The sequence below is a fragment of the Homo sapiens genome, chromosome 14 (genome assembly GCF_000001405.40).
Source record: "Homo sapiens chromosome 14, GRCh38.p14 Primary Assembly".
NCBI lineage: Eukaryota > Metazoa > Chordata > Mammalia > Primates > Hominidae > Homo > Homo sapiens.
Window position 1 is genome coordinate 82067168 of NC_000014.9, and position 14355 is coordinate 82081522.

The 14355-nt window shown below is 37.3% G+C and overlaps 1 long non-coding RNA gene across 1 annotated transcript in view, besides 1 other annotated feature; it reads left to right on the forward strand.

Moving 5' to 3' along the window:
• The window catches only part of LOC107984704 (uncharacterized), a 336950-nt gene extending 329971 nt beyond the window's left edge, over nt 1-6979 (forward strand). Inside the window, exon 4 of the long non-coding RNA XR_007064292.1 lies at nt 6761-6979. This is a non-coding gene — a long non-coding RNA (uncharacterized LOC107984704). The remainder of the gene's footprint in view (nt 1-6760) is intronic.
• Nucleotides 8485-8685: a silencer, noted in NCBI's record as "peak2224 fragment used in MPRA reporter construct". NCBI's record gives its function as "represses an SCP1 promoter by STARR-seq MPRAs in K562 erythroleukemia cells {active_cell/tissue: K562}" and the evidence as "EXISTENCE:reporter gene assay evidence [ECO:0000049][PMID:32103011]".

The window sequence follows — 14355 nt, forward strand, 5'->3', positions numbered from 1 at the left end:
CCTAATGTGGAGTTTTCATTTCCAATCATCATATCTATGAAATCTCTCCTAATTGATTGCAGAATCTGAATTCAGAGAGAACACTCAGCTGTCAGTAATTCCTTTTAAGCTCTCTGCAGACCCAAGCACCACTTTTCTCTTTGAGTGCTCTATTTTCTGTGAGGGGAATAAGGCAGCAGAGGGAGGGAGGGTTAAGTGGCTGGTTTGCATGCGGTGCGGACAGGCAGCTCAATCAGGCTGGCACGGGTGTCTTAATCAGAAGCCTGCGGTTCACCGCAGTGGTTGAGTGCTACCTCTTTGCCAATGGCATCTTCTGTTTAGAGACGCTATTGATTGCTCCTCTCCCCTTCTCTTCTGGGAGAGTTTCCGGCTGCAAGGCGATGTCAGGAAACGGGCAAGGGAAAAGGTTTTTTTTTTTTTCTTTTTCTTTTTTTTTTTTAATGGTGCCTAAGATTTGGAGCAAGGCTCTAATTTCCCAAGCAGCAGATGTAGTGACACTCAATGCAGACTCTTTAAAACGGTGATGAGTGGGGAGATATGAGACAGGAGTGATGAGCCAAGGATGCCAGTAAAAGAGTAGGGGAGAAAGATTCCATGAGTGGATAAGAACTGGCTTCAGTTTAGACAAGAAGACAGCAGGCAGTGCTCCGAAGGAGGTCAGACTGAGTGCATTAACTCTGCCTGGAAGAAATAGGAAAGAGTGGTTGGTTAAAATACTTTGTATTTTATGGGGAAATGTATGATCTAGAAATCAGGCAGAGACCAAAAATATAATGGATCTCTTTGTAGACTCTGGGTGTAAATCAATATTTTTATGTGAGCATTGGTGAGCAAGCAGAACATCCTTAGAAACTGAGACCCATCACAGAAGAAACTTAAACTATTTTGAACGTGGCATGGAGCTAAAAAATATAGAAATTAATTATTCTTGATTCAGAGTTTGCAATGAGAATGAAATATTGAATATAATAAGGACATTTTTTCTTCAAGCAAGAGGAGTAATGCCGGGGGAGAGGCACAGTGAGAGGACGATTCAAACCAATTTGAGATCATAAATGAGGAGATAACAAAATCTTATATATTTAATGGTTATAAATATCAGGAATGATTCTTTATCATCTGATTGCTGTTAAACAGTTCAAAGGCAAATATATAAAATGAGGCAAATTTGAATTCTAAATGTTATAGTAGAAAGCCTTGAGAGAAATATAGGGGATGTTCAAGACTCAGATATGGCTTCAAATTTTGGATCAGCCACATATCGCATTGCTTTGGTTGGAGTCTCATTTTTGTATAGATAATATTGGGACAATATGCACGGTAGCTATTACTCCTCCCACCTACCAAGGCTTCATCCAGTTTCTACCTTTCTCTGTCCTGCTCTGCATTGGATACACTGGTCCCTGTGATTGTACCCCCTGGACTCACCTGCTGGCTGACTTCAGATTGAGATTAGACTATGGAGGTATCAGTAGGGGGAGAGAGAAGTCTAGGTGTTCAGGTGTTTCTTTGTCACTCTGTCCCTTCCTTTTTTTTTTTTTTTTTTGTTGTTGTTGTTGCCCAGGCTGGAGTGCAGTGGCATGATCTCAGCTTACTGCAACCTCTGCCTCCGGGTTCAAAGGATCCTCCTGCCTCAGCCTTCTGAGTAGCTGGGATTACAGCGTGTGCCACCACATCTGGCTAATTTTTGTATTTTTGGTAGAGATGAGGTTTCACCATTTTGGCCAGGCTGGTCTTGAACTCCCGACCTCAGGTGATCCACCTGCTTTGGCCTCTCAAAGTGTTGGTATTACAGGCATGAGCCATTGCAACTGGCTTTTTTTCTTTTAAGAGATGGGGTCTAACTATGTTGCCCATGCTGGACTCCAACTTCTGGACTCAAGTGATTCTCCAACCTCAGCCTCTTGAGTAGGAGTAGCCAGGACACTGGCACACTGGACAGTGGCACAGGCCACTGTACCTGTTTCCCCTCCCTACTTTAGCAACCACAGCAGCAGCTTTGTTCTGTTCTGATAGATCTCCTGTTGAGTGAAACCTACTCCATAGTTGCTATTCTCACTGGGCTCCAGTGACATCATTTTTTCTCCGTGCCCCAAAGCCCCAGGAAGTCAAGTAACAGTATCCCACTGTTGCTAATGTTCTGATGTTTGAGTGTCTTATATTTATTGTTTTCCTCCTTTCCTCCCTCCTTCCCTCCCTCCCTTCCTTCCTTCCTTCCTTCCTTCCTTCCTTCCTTCCTTCCTTCCTTCCTTCCTTTTTTTTTGGGCACGGTCTCACTTTGTTGCCCAGGCTGGAGTGCAGTGGTGTGATCTTGGCTCACTGCAACCTCTGCCTCCCAAGTTCAACTGAGTCTCGTGCCTCGGCCTCCCTGAGTAGCAGCGACCCCAAGTGCATGCCACCATGCCTGGCTCATTTGTGTATTTTTAGTAGAGATGGGGTTTTGCCATGTTGGCCAGGCTGGTGTCAAACTCCTGAGCTAAAGTGATCCACCTGTCTTGGCCTGCTAAAGTGCTGGAATTACTTTGGCGTGAACCACCATGCCCAGCCATTGTTTGTTTTCTTAATCTTGTCCACTACACACTCCTTTGAACCATCTGAGACAAATCTTGTTTTCTGTTGGAACCCTGGTTGATACCTAATGCTTGTAGAGTTTCAAAGAAAATATTGAAAGATCTGCCAGACAAATGCAGAAAGGGGTATGTACTCAGTTCTTGATACATCCAGCAGGTTTTAGTTGGAGAGGCCTCAAAAAAAAGGTGTGGTGGGCTGAATAATAGGCCTTAAACGATACCCATATCCTAATACCTGGAACCTGTGACTCTTACTACATATGACAAAAAAGATCTGCCAGATGTGATTAAATCGTAGATCTCAAGATGGCAAGATTATATTGGATTATCTGGGTGAGACTTAAGTGCTATAACAAGTATCCTTATAAGAGGCAGGCAGAGAAGAGTTTGACACAGAAGAAGAAGGCAACGTGATCACTGAATTAGCATGCTACACACTGGCTTCGAAGATGGAGGAAGGGGCCAAGAGTCAACAAATGCAAGGAATGCAGATCTAAACTCTGGAAGAGGCAAGGAAATCAGTTCCTCCATAGAGCTCCAGAGGGAGCATGAGCCTCAAGGCACCTTGATTTTTGGCCCAGTGAAATTGACTTGGACCTCTGACTTACAACACTGTAAGAGATTAGATGTGTGTTGTGTTAAGCCACCACGTTTCTGGTAATTTGCTACAGCAGGCACAGGACACTCTCAGCAAATACCAAGGTTCAGGGCTTAGCTTTCAGGTTGCAGATTTGGAATCCAGCTCTCAGATATCATGTCCCTTTTTTGGGTTACACTCATGTGAATCAAGATAGGAGATTGATGCATGAAATTACAATGATGATTCATCAACTTCCAATGAGATGTAGAACTCTCTTGTTGGCTGGAAGACATGTCAAACTGACCAGTCCATTTTCTGTCTATTGACAGACAGGCTTAGGAAATAGTTTGTAATCAAGATTCCAGTATACTGATTAATAATTAAAAATAAAATTCTAACATATAGGTGGAAATCTTTAACATTTCCCCAAGCACCTTCTTTTCCACCAGCCAACAGACAAACCTGGAAAGACAAATCACAGCTGAAGGTAGTTTCGAGAACACTGACTCTGAACAAGGGCAGTTAGATTAATGCTTTGCTGAATGGCAACAGGATGAGACACCCTGAGACATATCTTTGGGACTGGAGAATGCGAAGTGCTTTGGCTGGAATCCTATTGTCCACCTTCCCTTTGGGGAAGGACTTGGCAATGTGACCAGGACAGCTGTGCTTATTTGATAAGGATCCCTTTCCCTCGTTCATGCCTGGATATTCACTGCCAAGTTAATCTCTGCCATTGTTCTTTCTCACATGGTGACTATCCCTATATCCCTTTTTGGGATATGTGGATGCTTTCCTTCTAAGTAAAAACAAGTCTTGCCAGCAAGGATCCATTTAGTTTCTTTTGGCATTGCATATCTCATTATGTATTGATGTAATAATAAATGGATTATTATATTTTCCTTCTTAAGTTATAGTTGAGAAATGTACTTTAACATTTTTTCATAAACTGATAAATTTTGTGTCACACAAAGATATATATATTATATATAATCTTTGCATCTTGCATAGAGTATGTGCACATAAGTTGTAGTTTATTGTTATATATATATATATTTAGCTGTGTTCCATATAGAGGACAATCAATAAATATAATTTCTCATGCCTGTGTTCCTCAGATGTCTGGAGTGTGGTAAGGACATGTCACAAGGTTAAAATTCAGAATGGAAACCTCAGAACCTGTCATTCTCTGCAGATCTGTAACATCTCAGGGAAGCAGAAAATCCAGCATTTAGAGCTCTGTTTCTTTGTTCTTTTGATGAAACACTTATTGTTCATGGAAAAACATCTATTTTTGTTTTCATTTCGCTCTTGTCTGTCTACAGAGATACTTTCAGGCAGAGGCAAGATTTCGTTATTTCAGAAACCTGTGAGATTCTCAGTAGGCAAACACATCTTTAAAAGACAATATTTCAGTTTTGCGTGTTAATATATTGCAGAAAAAGAAAATTCAATGATAAATATATTTCATTGAACTCAAAGGTTTGTAAATCAGATTATTGTATGATAACCATCTTTCCCTCATTTATACTATAATTTCTGAAGTATGATCCAACCAAAATTAAACCCTGGAGAATAAAAAGATTAGTCCTCAAGAATATAACAAACTTAAAATTATACAGTTAACCAAGCACTGATAATTTCATAAGAAATATCCTCACAATTTGTCATTTTCAATGTTATGCTTTGGCCATAGTATAGCAGAATGAAGTGAGTTCAGATTTCAGAGCAAGACAAATCCATATTTAAATACTGGTTCAGCATAATAGTCTTCATCTCTAAAATGGGGTTGATAAATAAAATCATGTAAGTATTTTGGTTCATAATTAGATATTTGTTAATAACAGGAATAAAAATTGCCTCATATTGGTAATGTTACTGGCAAACTCAGAAAATGTACAGAAGCAAAAAATTAACAATGATATATGGGAAAACAAAAACAAAAACCTTTTATAAAAAATACTTTTTTTATTTTTAAAATTTGCCGTCTTTGAATAGTCTTTTTTCCCTGTACCCACCTTATTCTCCTATCTACTGTCACTAGAAATTTTTAGTAGAAGTAGTGAATTTAGCTGTAATAGAAAAACTGTGCTATACACTGATACTTAAACACTTTTTTAAAAAATTAAGAGTCAGGGAAAAATGCACTTTAATATCATAGGGGACTTCAGGCACTATTCCAGGTGTTTATATCACATCACCTGATACTGAGCTAAGTCACTATTTGGTGTTGCTTAGCTACATGAAATGGGGCCCTATGATAATGGGAAAAGCAGGAGTGTTTTGTCACCCAATCTCCTAAAATGTTTGGAAAAATCGTTAATGGAAATCTTCCTTCACCCGCGTATTTTTATCTCCACACAACAGCTAACATTTTTATATTGCCTTCTATATTATTTGATGCAATTTCCTCAAAACCAGAGTAAAGGCAGTTGGAAAGACTATTTTTATTGTATCCTCCTTTTTAATTTGTCACACTGTGTTTTCCTTAATAGCTGAGGAAACAGAGGCGCAATTGGTTAGATACTATTCCAAGTTAATTCAGTTGAACTCTAGAGGAGTTTCCTTTCACTCAAAAATACTTGGTTCAATTATTTGTAGATGATAAGTGGGTGGGGCAAGGAAGTGGGCAATGGATAAGAGCATTAGACTGAAGCTTCTAGAGCATAAACCAGAGGATAACACCAGGATAAATGATTAACGTTCCTCTTGGTGCCTAGAAATAGTTCATTTATGTCACAATAAATGTCACCACTGTATGAAGAGTAAAGATAATTCAGGCTACTAAGTATATCACCATGTGTTCTTGGGAACAAGACGGTCATGAACTCCAGGGACTTCTCCTTCTTACTTCAGTGTTAAAGTGTGGATGCCCTGCAGAGTCTGTGACTTTATTAAGAATTGTCGATATTCTTACTACTGATGGCAACCATAACTGAAGAAGCTTGCAAAATATAATTCAAAATCAGATTGAAGTTAACTAGGTAACATCTTGCATAGAGTATGTGCATACAAGTTGTAGTTTGTTTCCCATTCAATATAGTATGCTTGTCTTATGCATTTATTTACCTAAATTTACAATTCAGGTTTCTATACAAGGATTTTTTTTTTTGCAATCTCTGTCCCATCTTCCAAATAATCCATGCTTTTCTCTGTTGTCCTTTTTTGCTCCATGCCCAGAAATCTTCTGTCTGTGAAATGTAAATAAATAGAAATAGAAACTGTATGAGGTTATGAGATCTACTCTGGAATTAGATGGGTTTGATTTTGAATTCTGGTCTGGCTATTTGTGAGCTGTGTGACCTTTGACAAGTTACTGAGCCACAGTTTCCTTATTATAAAATAGTCATAATAATAGAACCCACATGGAGAGTTTGTCATAGTAATTAATCGTTACTCAGTGTAAAAATAAAAGCATCATGCCTGCCGTATAGTAAGCACTCAATCAATGCTAGGTCTGCTGCTGCTGCTGTTGTTACCAATGCTAAGGAAAGTGTGATTTCATAATCATGTGTCTTTCAGGTTTAAATGCTTTCACTATCTCTGTTTTTTATGTATTTGTTTATTTACTTATTCATTCAACAAATATTTTGATGATTTATTCTTTCAGGAGGCCTCATGAGACTGCAGATGACCAGTTACAGGAGAATCATCAGAAAGAGAACAAGAAAGACTGAGGTAAAAATGACTAACGGTGTTTTTGTGCTCCCTTCCTGCTTTCCTTTGAAGGATAATCATTGGTTTATCAAAAAATGTACTTGCCATGAATTATATCACATGCTCCTAGAAATATGAGTTATATAGAAATGTTGGAATATAAGCTATGTTATATGGAGTCTTTTTGTTAACAGGAATTTTCCTAATTCTTTATGATTCTCTGTGCCTATATGAATCCAAAGCTGTTTCATTTTATTTTGTGCCCAAATACTTTATTATAATCATAATAACAAGCCTACAATAATTTTGCAGGCTTGCTAATAGAGAGCCTACAGTTTGTTGTTTATCAAGCCAGCATTTGAGTTAGGCCTCATAAATATGCCCACACCTGAGGCATAAATTGTATGCTAAATAGGAAGGGAAGCCTGTGCTCTGCAGAATAGTTCACTGAGGAGAGCCTCTCTAAGCTGTGAGATTCTAAAAAAGGACTAAAAATTTGGAGATAATTGTCTCTACTCCATGCCCAATGGACACATCCATATAGAAAATATCCCTTTTATTAACTTCACTTTTTTTTAGAACAAACTTTTCAACACACCCCTTGCCATGAGCAAGGTGGATATGATAAGGCAACCAACACTCTGACACAATAATAGAGCTCTAAGCCAAGACAGTTTCAATGTGACCTTTCATTTTCTCTAATTGCCTTTCTCTTATTAATCCTGATCTGCCTATTATTGATAGTATCATTACGCTATGCTTCTAATGACTTTGCCTGGGAGGATCAGGAGTTTTTTAAATATTTGGAATGTTATTTAGCAGAAAAACTTGGTGGGGAAGGAAAAGTATCATAATTAAAAGTAACAGTTCTCAGGCTTTCTCACTACTCTTTCTACCTAAATCCTAACCATCTCTTAAAATATACCTTAGCTGCTGCATCCTCCATGAATTTTCTTGGACTGCATTAGTCCAATGATTAGATTTTTGCTCTTACTATTCATTTGACTCAACTGATACTTTTTATGCCACTCTAATCTATGGTACATTATTTATATAGATTGTCTTAAGTCCTTCACTGAGTTGTAAGCTCTTTGAGGTTAATACTTAGGAATATGATAATACAATGTGAATAAGTCTCATTGTCATTTCTTGTCACTTTCTTGTTACTTTCTCAATAAGCCTCATTGAGGCTTATTCTCATTGTATTCTCATGTTTCTAAACACTATTCTCTCTTCCAATAGTAAATTTTTATCATAATCATATTGATAATATTAATGCCATTTTATATTTATATTATTTATTTGGTTTAACAAAATATTTTCTTGTATATGATCTTTTCAATTCTCCCCACTGTCCTGTGTGTGAGGTGTCTACTCTAATTTTAGAGATGAAAAAGTAGAATCAAATGAAAATTTAAGTTATTTATCAAAAGTCAAAACATATCATAGAATTTATTGATTACTAAGTAGGAAGATTTCAGTATTGTTGTTATCTCAACTCTGACTTTATTGTGATTAATGCAGTAAAGTAGAAATAAACTCACAAAATTTTTACACTTGGAAAAACCCAAGAAGGATAAAGGCTCTCAGATGAATGGGGACAGGTTACATATGACTCATTATCTTTGGATATGCATATGCTGTTCCCCCAGTAGGAAGAAAAAAGAGGAGGCAAAAGCAAAGTTACTGCTTCCACCTGAATCACTTTTATGTGAATTAGAAAGAGGCTCCTCCTCTGCGTAGTGCAGCACTGAGTTGATGGTGCATTGAGCCATTTACCTCCTGCTCAGCACCTTGGACAGCACCAGCCTGTTCAAATGCACGGCAGTCAGGTGTAAATGCTGGGAAATAGATGGCTGTGGAAGGGATTATATGGTCCAGTGTGGGTACTGGCATAGAAGGAATAAATTATATTGGACACGTGTATTGAGAGGGTCAATTAAGAAAGGAGTATAAGCTAACTGATACCTTTAGAAGTACTCCTTTTTTTGGCATAGGGTAAAAATTATTGTTACGGTTCTTTAGACCCATGTACTCTGGAAAAATAATTTTTCATAGTAAACAGAGAACAGAATTTAGGAAAGTTGATTCTATTTTTGGTTCAACTCAAGAGACATGAGCTCTTAAAATACCCAAAATCTTTTAGCATATGAGTTATTTTAATTCATGTGCTATCCCATTCTTGAAGGTACATTTGAGAATCTCAAAAAGGGAAGTCATCCTCTCTCCAGAAAAATAAATAACACATGCACGTAACTATTTCACAATTAGTTTTAGTGGTTACATGGGTGCATTTTGGGGTTTAGTGAGTCTGTTTCCAAACCTGGCTAGTTGTCACAATTATTGGAGGTCCTTTCAAACATGCAGATTACCTGCCTCCACCATGGCAGATTCTGATTAATGAATTTGATAATAAGCCGAATATATTTGAATTATGCTCTCACATACAAGGTGAGATCGAAGGAAGAAAAAGTCAACCAAGAAGAAGTGACAAGAAAAGTAGTTAAAGGCTGTTTTTATGCTGCCAAGCATAAACCAGAGACAAATGTAGATATTTGAAAAATATACTTCAAGAGTGATTTTCTCATTAAAATATTTCTCTTATTTTGTCTATAATACTCATAAAATAAAGTAGATAATGCAAGGCAATGGGCAGAGGAAGGGTTTTTACAATATAGTGTGTAGAGGAAGGGCTTGCAGGAGGTAACACAGAGGGGAAGGTTCTCTTTCCATAGTTGGTAGCTTCCATAGAATCCCTGGTAGTATGACTAACCTGGAGGCATAAAACTTCTAGAAGATGATGTTGTGTTTTCACTTTGTTGGTGTGAATAGTTGAGTGAAAATATCCAACTCATTTTAGGTGAGGAGGTGATTAATCAGTCATACAAAAATGATCAGTAATAATGAAGTTATAAGCAACATTCTCTGATGAAATCCACTCCCACCACAAAAAAAAAAAGCCTTGTAAAAGTTAACAGATTTGCATCGAGATGTTTTGAAATATTGAAAAAGTTTTCTTCATGAATTTTCACTGGGAAAACAAAATATACCATTTGTAAGAATTGCTTCTTTGCTGCCTCACACAAAGAAAACAGTATTGGGCTAAACATTACATGTAAAAGGATCCTTTGGGGGCAAAATCCCTATCATCAAGCATTGATTCCTTTCCTGTCTTCTGGTTTAGTACCAATTACAGAGATTAAATTTTGGTTTCTAATATTAATTAATATTGCAAATACAACAAATTTACACGTTGATGAAAACAATATGTAGGGAATTTTTTTTTCTGTCAGTAGAACTTTCCCCTAATTTGTTCCTCTTAAATTTAACTTGTTAAGAAAAAAATTGATGAGGTGTTTTATAGCAGAGTGAGAAGGACAAGGAAACTCATTAACACATTTATATGTAAACTGTTGGAGTTGCAGAGTATCATAGGGAATATTAAATCTGAAGAGATCATATATCTCAATTCTTGTTCTGTGGACCTGAGGCATCTTATTTCTCTTCTAAAAGCCTCAGTTTTTATGTCTGTACATGATGAATGGTTTTTGTGTGTGTGGTGGGAAGTACCCCAAATCCTGGAATCACATGTTTATTTATTAAACATTAGCAGAGTGCCTATTATATTTAAGTATGATGGTAGACCCTGGATGTCTAGATGTGATTATGACTCAGCTTTCCAAAAAATGCCTGGAGCCTAGTGGAGCAGAGAGATGATAATTAAAGAAATTACAGGATAGTGTGATAAGGGGAAGGAAACAGAAGCAAGTGAAATGTGTATGAATCCATGAGAAGCACGGCTTGGGGATTATGTGATTTCTAAAATTTCTTCAACTATTTTTTAAGATGGGTCTTAATTTAGGACTTGATGGCGGATAGGAAAAGGATTCAAAAATGTGGCAGGGAACCAGTGCTCAAATTGGTGGGAAGGATTGAGAATCTTTGGAGAAAATGGAACTCTAACATTTGTTTCATTGTTGTGGCCTAAGCCTTCCTACCTCCCTCTGATTGTTGAGTAAAGTCTGTTCTGTGCACACAAGCCTCATGCAGTGGTTGTAGAAATCGAGGGAAAGCAGCCAAGTTGTAAGTATGAGGTGACATGAAACAGTGATAAAATGAACATCAGAATTAAACCAAAATAGAGTATTAAATTCAGAGGTGACCAGGAGAATTATAAACCTGTGGGAATTTAAAGAAATCTCATGCTGGGTTGTTAGTAACTTTTTACAAAAGAAATAACAAAAACTGTGCTGGATTTTTTCCCCCATTGAAAAAAAAATCCACCTAGAATCACTCTTTATGCTTCTTCTCCATATTCTCTGCCCCAGCTGATCTTTATGGACTTTATCAGAGGGTTCTCTTGTCCTGTGGCTTCTTATTTGTTTTGGGCAATAGGGAGCACTAGCAGGGAATGAGAGCAAGGAGGAAAATGAAGTGGGAACTTTAGTTCTCTAACTCCATTTCTGCAGAGTTGCTACAGGCTGGTTGCCTACCTCCACCAAAGGTTGCATCTCAGTAGGCCTTTTTCTTCTGTCCCATGGCCTCTTCAGCCCTAAGAATAATAGCTCACTTGCAATTATTAGCCCCAGTGCACTTCTCTGCTCGTGATGATTTTCTTTACAAATGCCCTCACTTTAAAAATGAACTCTTCTTATATTACCCATTTTGTGTGAACTAATTGTCTACTTTTGGAAGCATAACTAATATAGAAGTTAAAACACTCACTTACACCATAGCTAAATATTGATAGGAAATCTAGACACACACACACACACACACACACACACACACACACACACACAGCATTATTTAGATATAACTAAGAAATAGCAGCCGTTGGTGTTTCAACAATAAGTTAATAACACTAACACAGGCACTACAGTGAGTTCTGTGAAATTTTTGGTAAATGAAATCATAGATAATTTTGCCAAAGGAAATTTAGTCAAATAACCTTATTTTGCAGGTGACAAACTTAGATTTTCCAAGAGACTAACTTGCTTGTTAACTCTTTTATTTTTATTTTTCAACTTTTATTTTAGGTACGGGGTGCATGTACAGGTTTGTTACACAGGCAAATTGCATGTCACTGGGGTTTCGTGTACAAATGGTTTAGTTACCCAGGTGGTGAGCACAGTACCTGATAGGTAGTTTTTCAACCCTTACCCTCCTCTTTCATTGGCCCCTCAAGTAAGCCCCCATGTCTACTGTTCTCATCTCTGTGTCTATGCATACTCAATATTTAGCTCCCATTTATAAGTGAGAATATGTGGTATTTGTTTTTCTGTTTCTATGTTAATTTGCTTAGGATTATGGCCTTCAGCTGTATCCATGTTTCTTCAAAGGACATGATTTCCCTTTTCATGGCTGTGTAATATTCTGTGGTGTGAATGTACCACATTTTCTTTATCCAGTCTACCATTGATGGGTATCTAGGTTGATTCCGTGTCTTTTCTATTGTGAATGGTGCTACAATGAACATACATGTACATGTGTCTTTTTGGTAGAGTGATTTATATTCCTCTCATTACTCTGCTTTTAATGGCAGAATATGTATGTGTGACTGTGTATGGGTGTATGTGTATATGTGTAGGCAAATTTCCTTGTTGCTTGTTCTCTCACTACTAAACAACAGCTGAGAATCTGAGAATCCTGTGGAGTAAGCTCAATTTCATCTGGCTTTTCCTACATTGTTCTTCCACAAAGCTGTTATGCATCTCTACATTTTCCCTTTCATTTGACGACAATTTGCCATAAAGATAGTTTTTATTTATTTATTTATTTATTTATTTATTTATTTATTTATTTATTTTAATTTGTAAGTCATTTCATGAGAATTCTTGCAGAAAAATGTGGGCACATAAAAATAAAGCCATCACCTTGAGATGAGCAAAGAGTTTATTGGTGTGTATGAGTTTCAATTTGGCGCCTCAGGTACAAAACATAAGACGTTCACATTGTGATTTGATCACTAAGAGTCAAAACTGAGAATACATTTAGTCTATGGATGATAAATGTGTAAATGCCAATCACGTATTAATCAATGTTTCTCAAATTCTAGCTCAAGAATTTCCTGCATCATAATTGATTGAGCTCTTTTTAGTATTAATACAGCTTCTTTGGTCCCACCTAAGACATCTGTCCTCAGGGCTTCTAAGGGCTCAGTCCAGGAGCTTTCATTTTAAAAAAAATTCTTGAAACACTTTCTGCATACACCTAAGTTTGAGACTGTAATAATAGGTTTGGTAGAAAAAATTGAAAATTAAGTACATAAAATCATTGAGTTCACTCAGCCTGATGTTCAATTGTTCATTAGGCAAGAAAGCTGGCTTTTAAAATGTAATGAAAGACAATGGCTTTCTGGTATGGAATGGGTAAACAGATAAATTAGGTCCCCGGCATGTACTGAGCTCTGTGCTTTTGTGTTTTGACTTCGTTCTCCAGCAACAATAACTTTCCAAGTACAGCGGGCTGAGTGAAAAACACAATCACTGATTGATGGTCAGACCCCTATGGTGTTTTGAACCTTTAAAGAAGCTAAGGCTGGTGGCTGATTTGCGGTTGAAAGGGGCTAAATGTTCTCTCCTGGAGTTCAGGGAACCAGCTGCTTCCTGAGCTGGCAAAGGAGAGAAAACCTTGAGACAGAGCAGCTTCAATTTGCATGAGATGTACTAAGCAATCCTCCAATTAGCTGGCTGTTGCCTCTCTTGATGGCTACCTTGGGGAGGAGATGGGGGTTGTGAACTTTGAAGTGGATTATTAATTATTCATGCCTCCTTCGCCCTGATGGAGGTAACCTGCATCTCAGGAGCCAGGTCCAGCATTCATTATCTTCCTGTCTGTGTTTGCAATAAAATAACACTGAATATTAATCCTTTCACCTTCATTCTTAACTCCCTCTTCCCCCTTCTCTAGTCTCTAGACAGATTATGCAGAATCATGCCTCTCCTTTAATTCTTCTCATCCCTTGTCCTCCTACATCATTTATTGTTTATTCAATTATTTGGAGGCCCATTAAACTGAGAATTAAGTTCAAGGGCTAGTTGCTTTCTTGAAAGCTCACCAGAATGCAATGTTTTCCACTCAAGTTTTCAATTTATTTATTTTTTAGCCTGTTTGTGATAATCCTGTCATGATTAGTGACTTGTCACCTGTTTTTTATTTCTATATTCTAAAATTTTAGGAGTTTCATGCTTTTTCTTAGAGTTCTCTAGAGACTTTACTGTCAGGTTTAATCGGGGTTTTCTAGTAAAAAGCAGAAGACTTGTTTTCTTGTCAGGTGTGGGTGTTTGTGTGTGTGAGTGCAAACCTATGTCTGTCTGTGCATTACTTTTCTTTCAGGGAGCCAATACACAAATCTACACAAATCGGTACTTCTGAAAATTTAAGTTAATTAAATGAGAGATCACTAAGTTAAGTCTTCATAACAAAGAATAATCTCATTATATATCAAAAAGGGATTAATTCAGAGGTGGGTTAAGATTAGCTTGCAGAAGACTTGGTATGAAGATTTTTTTTAACTGAAAAGGTAAAACATAAAGAATGTTATCA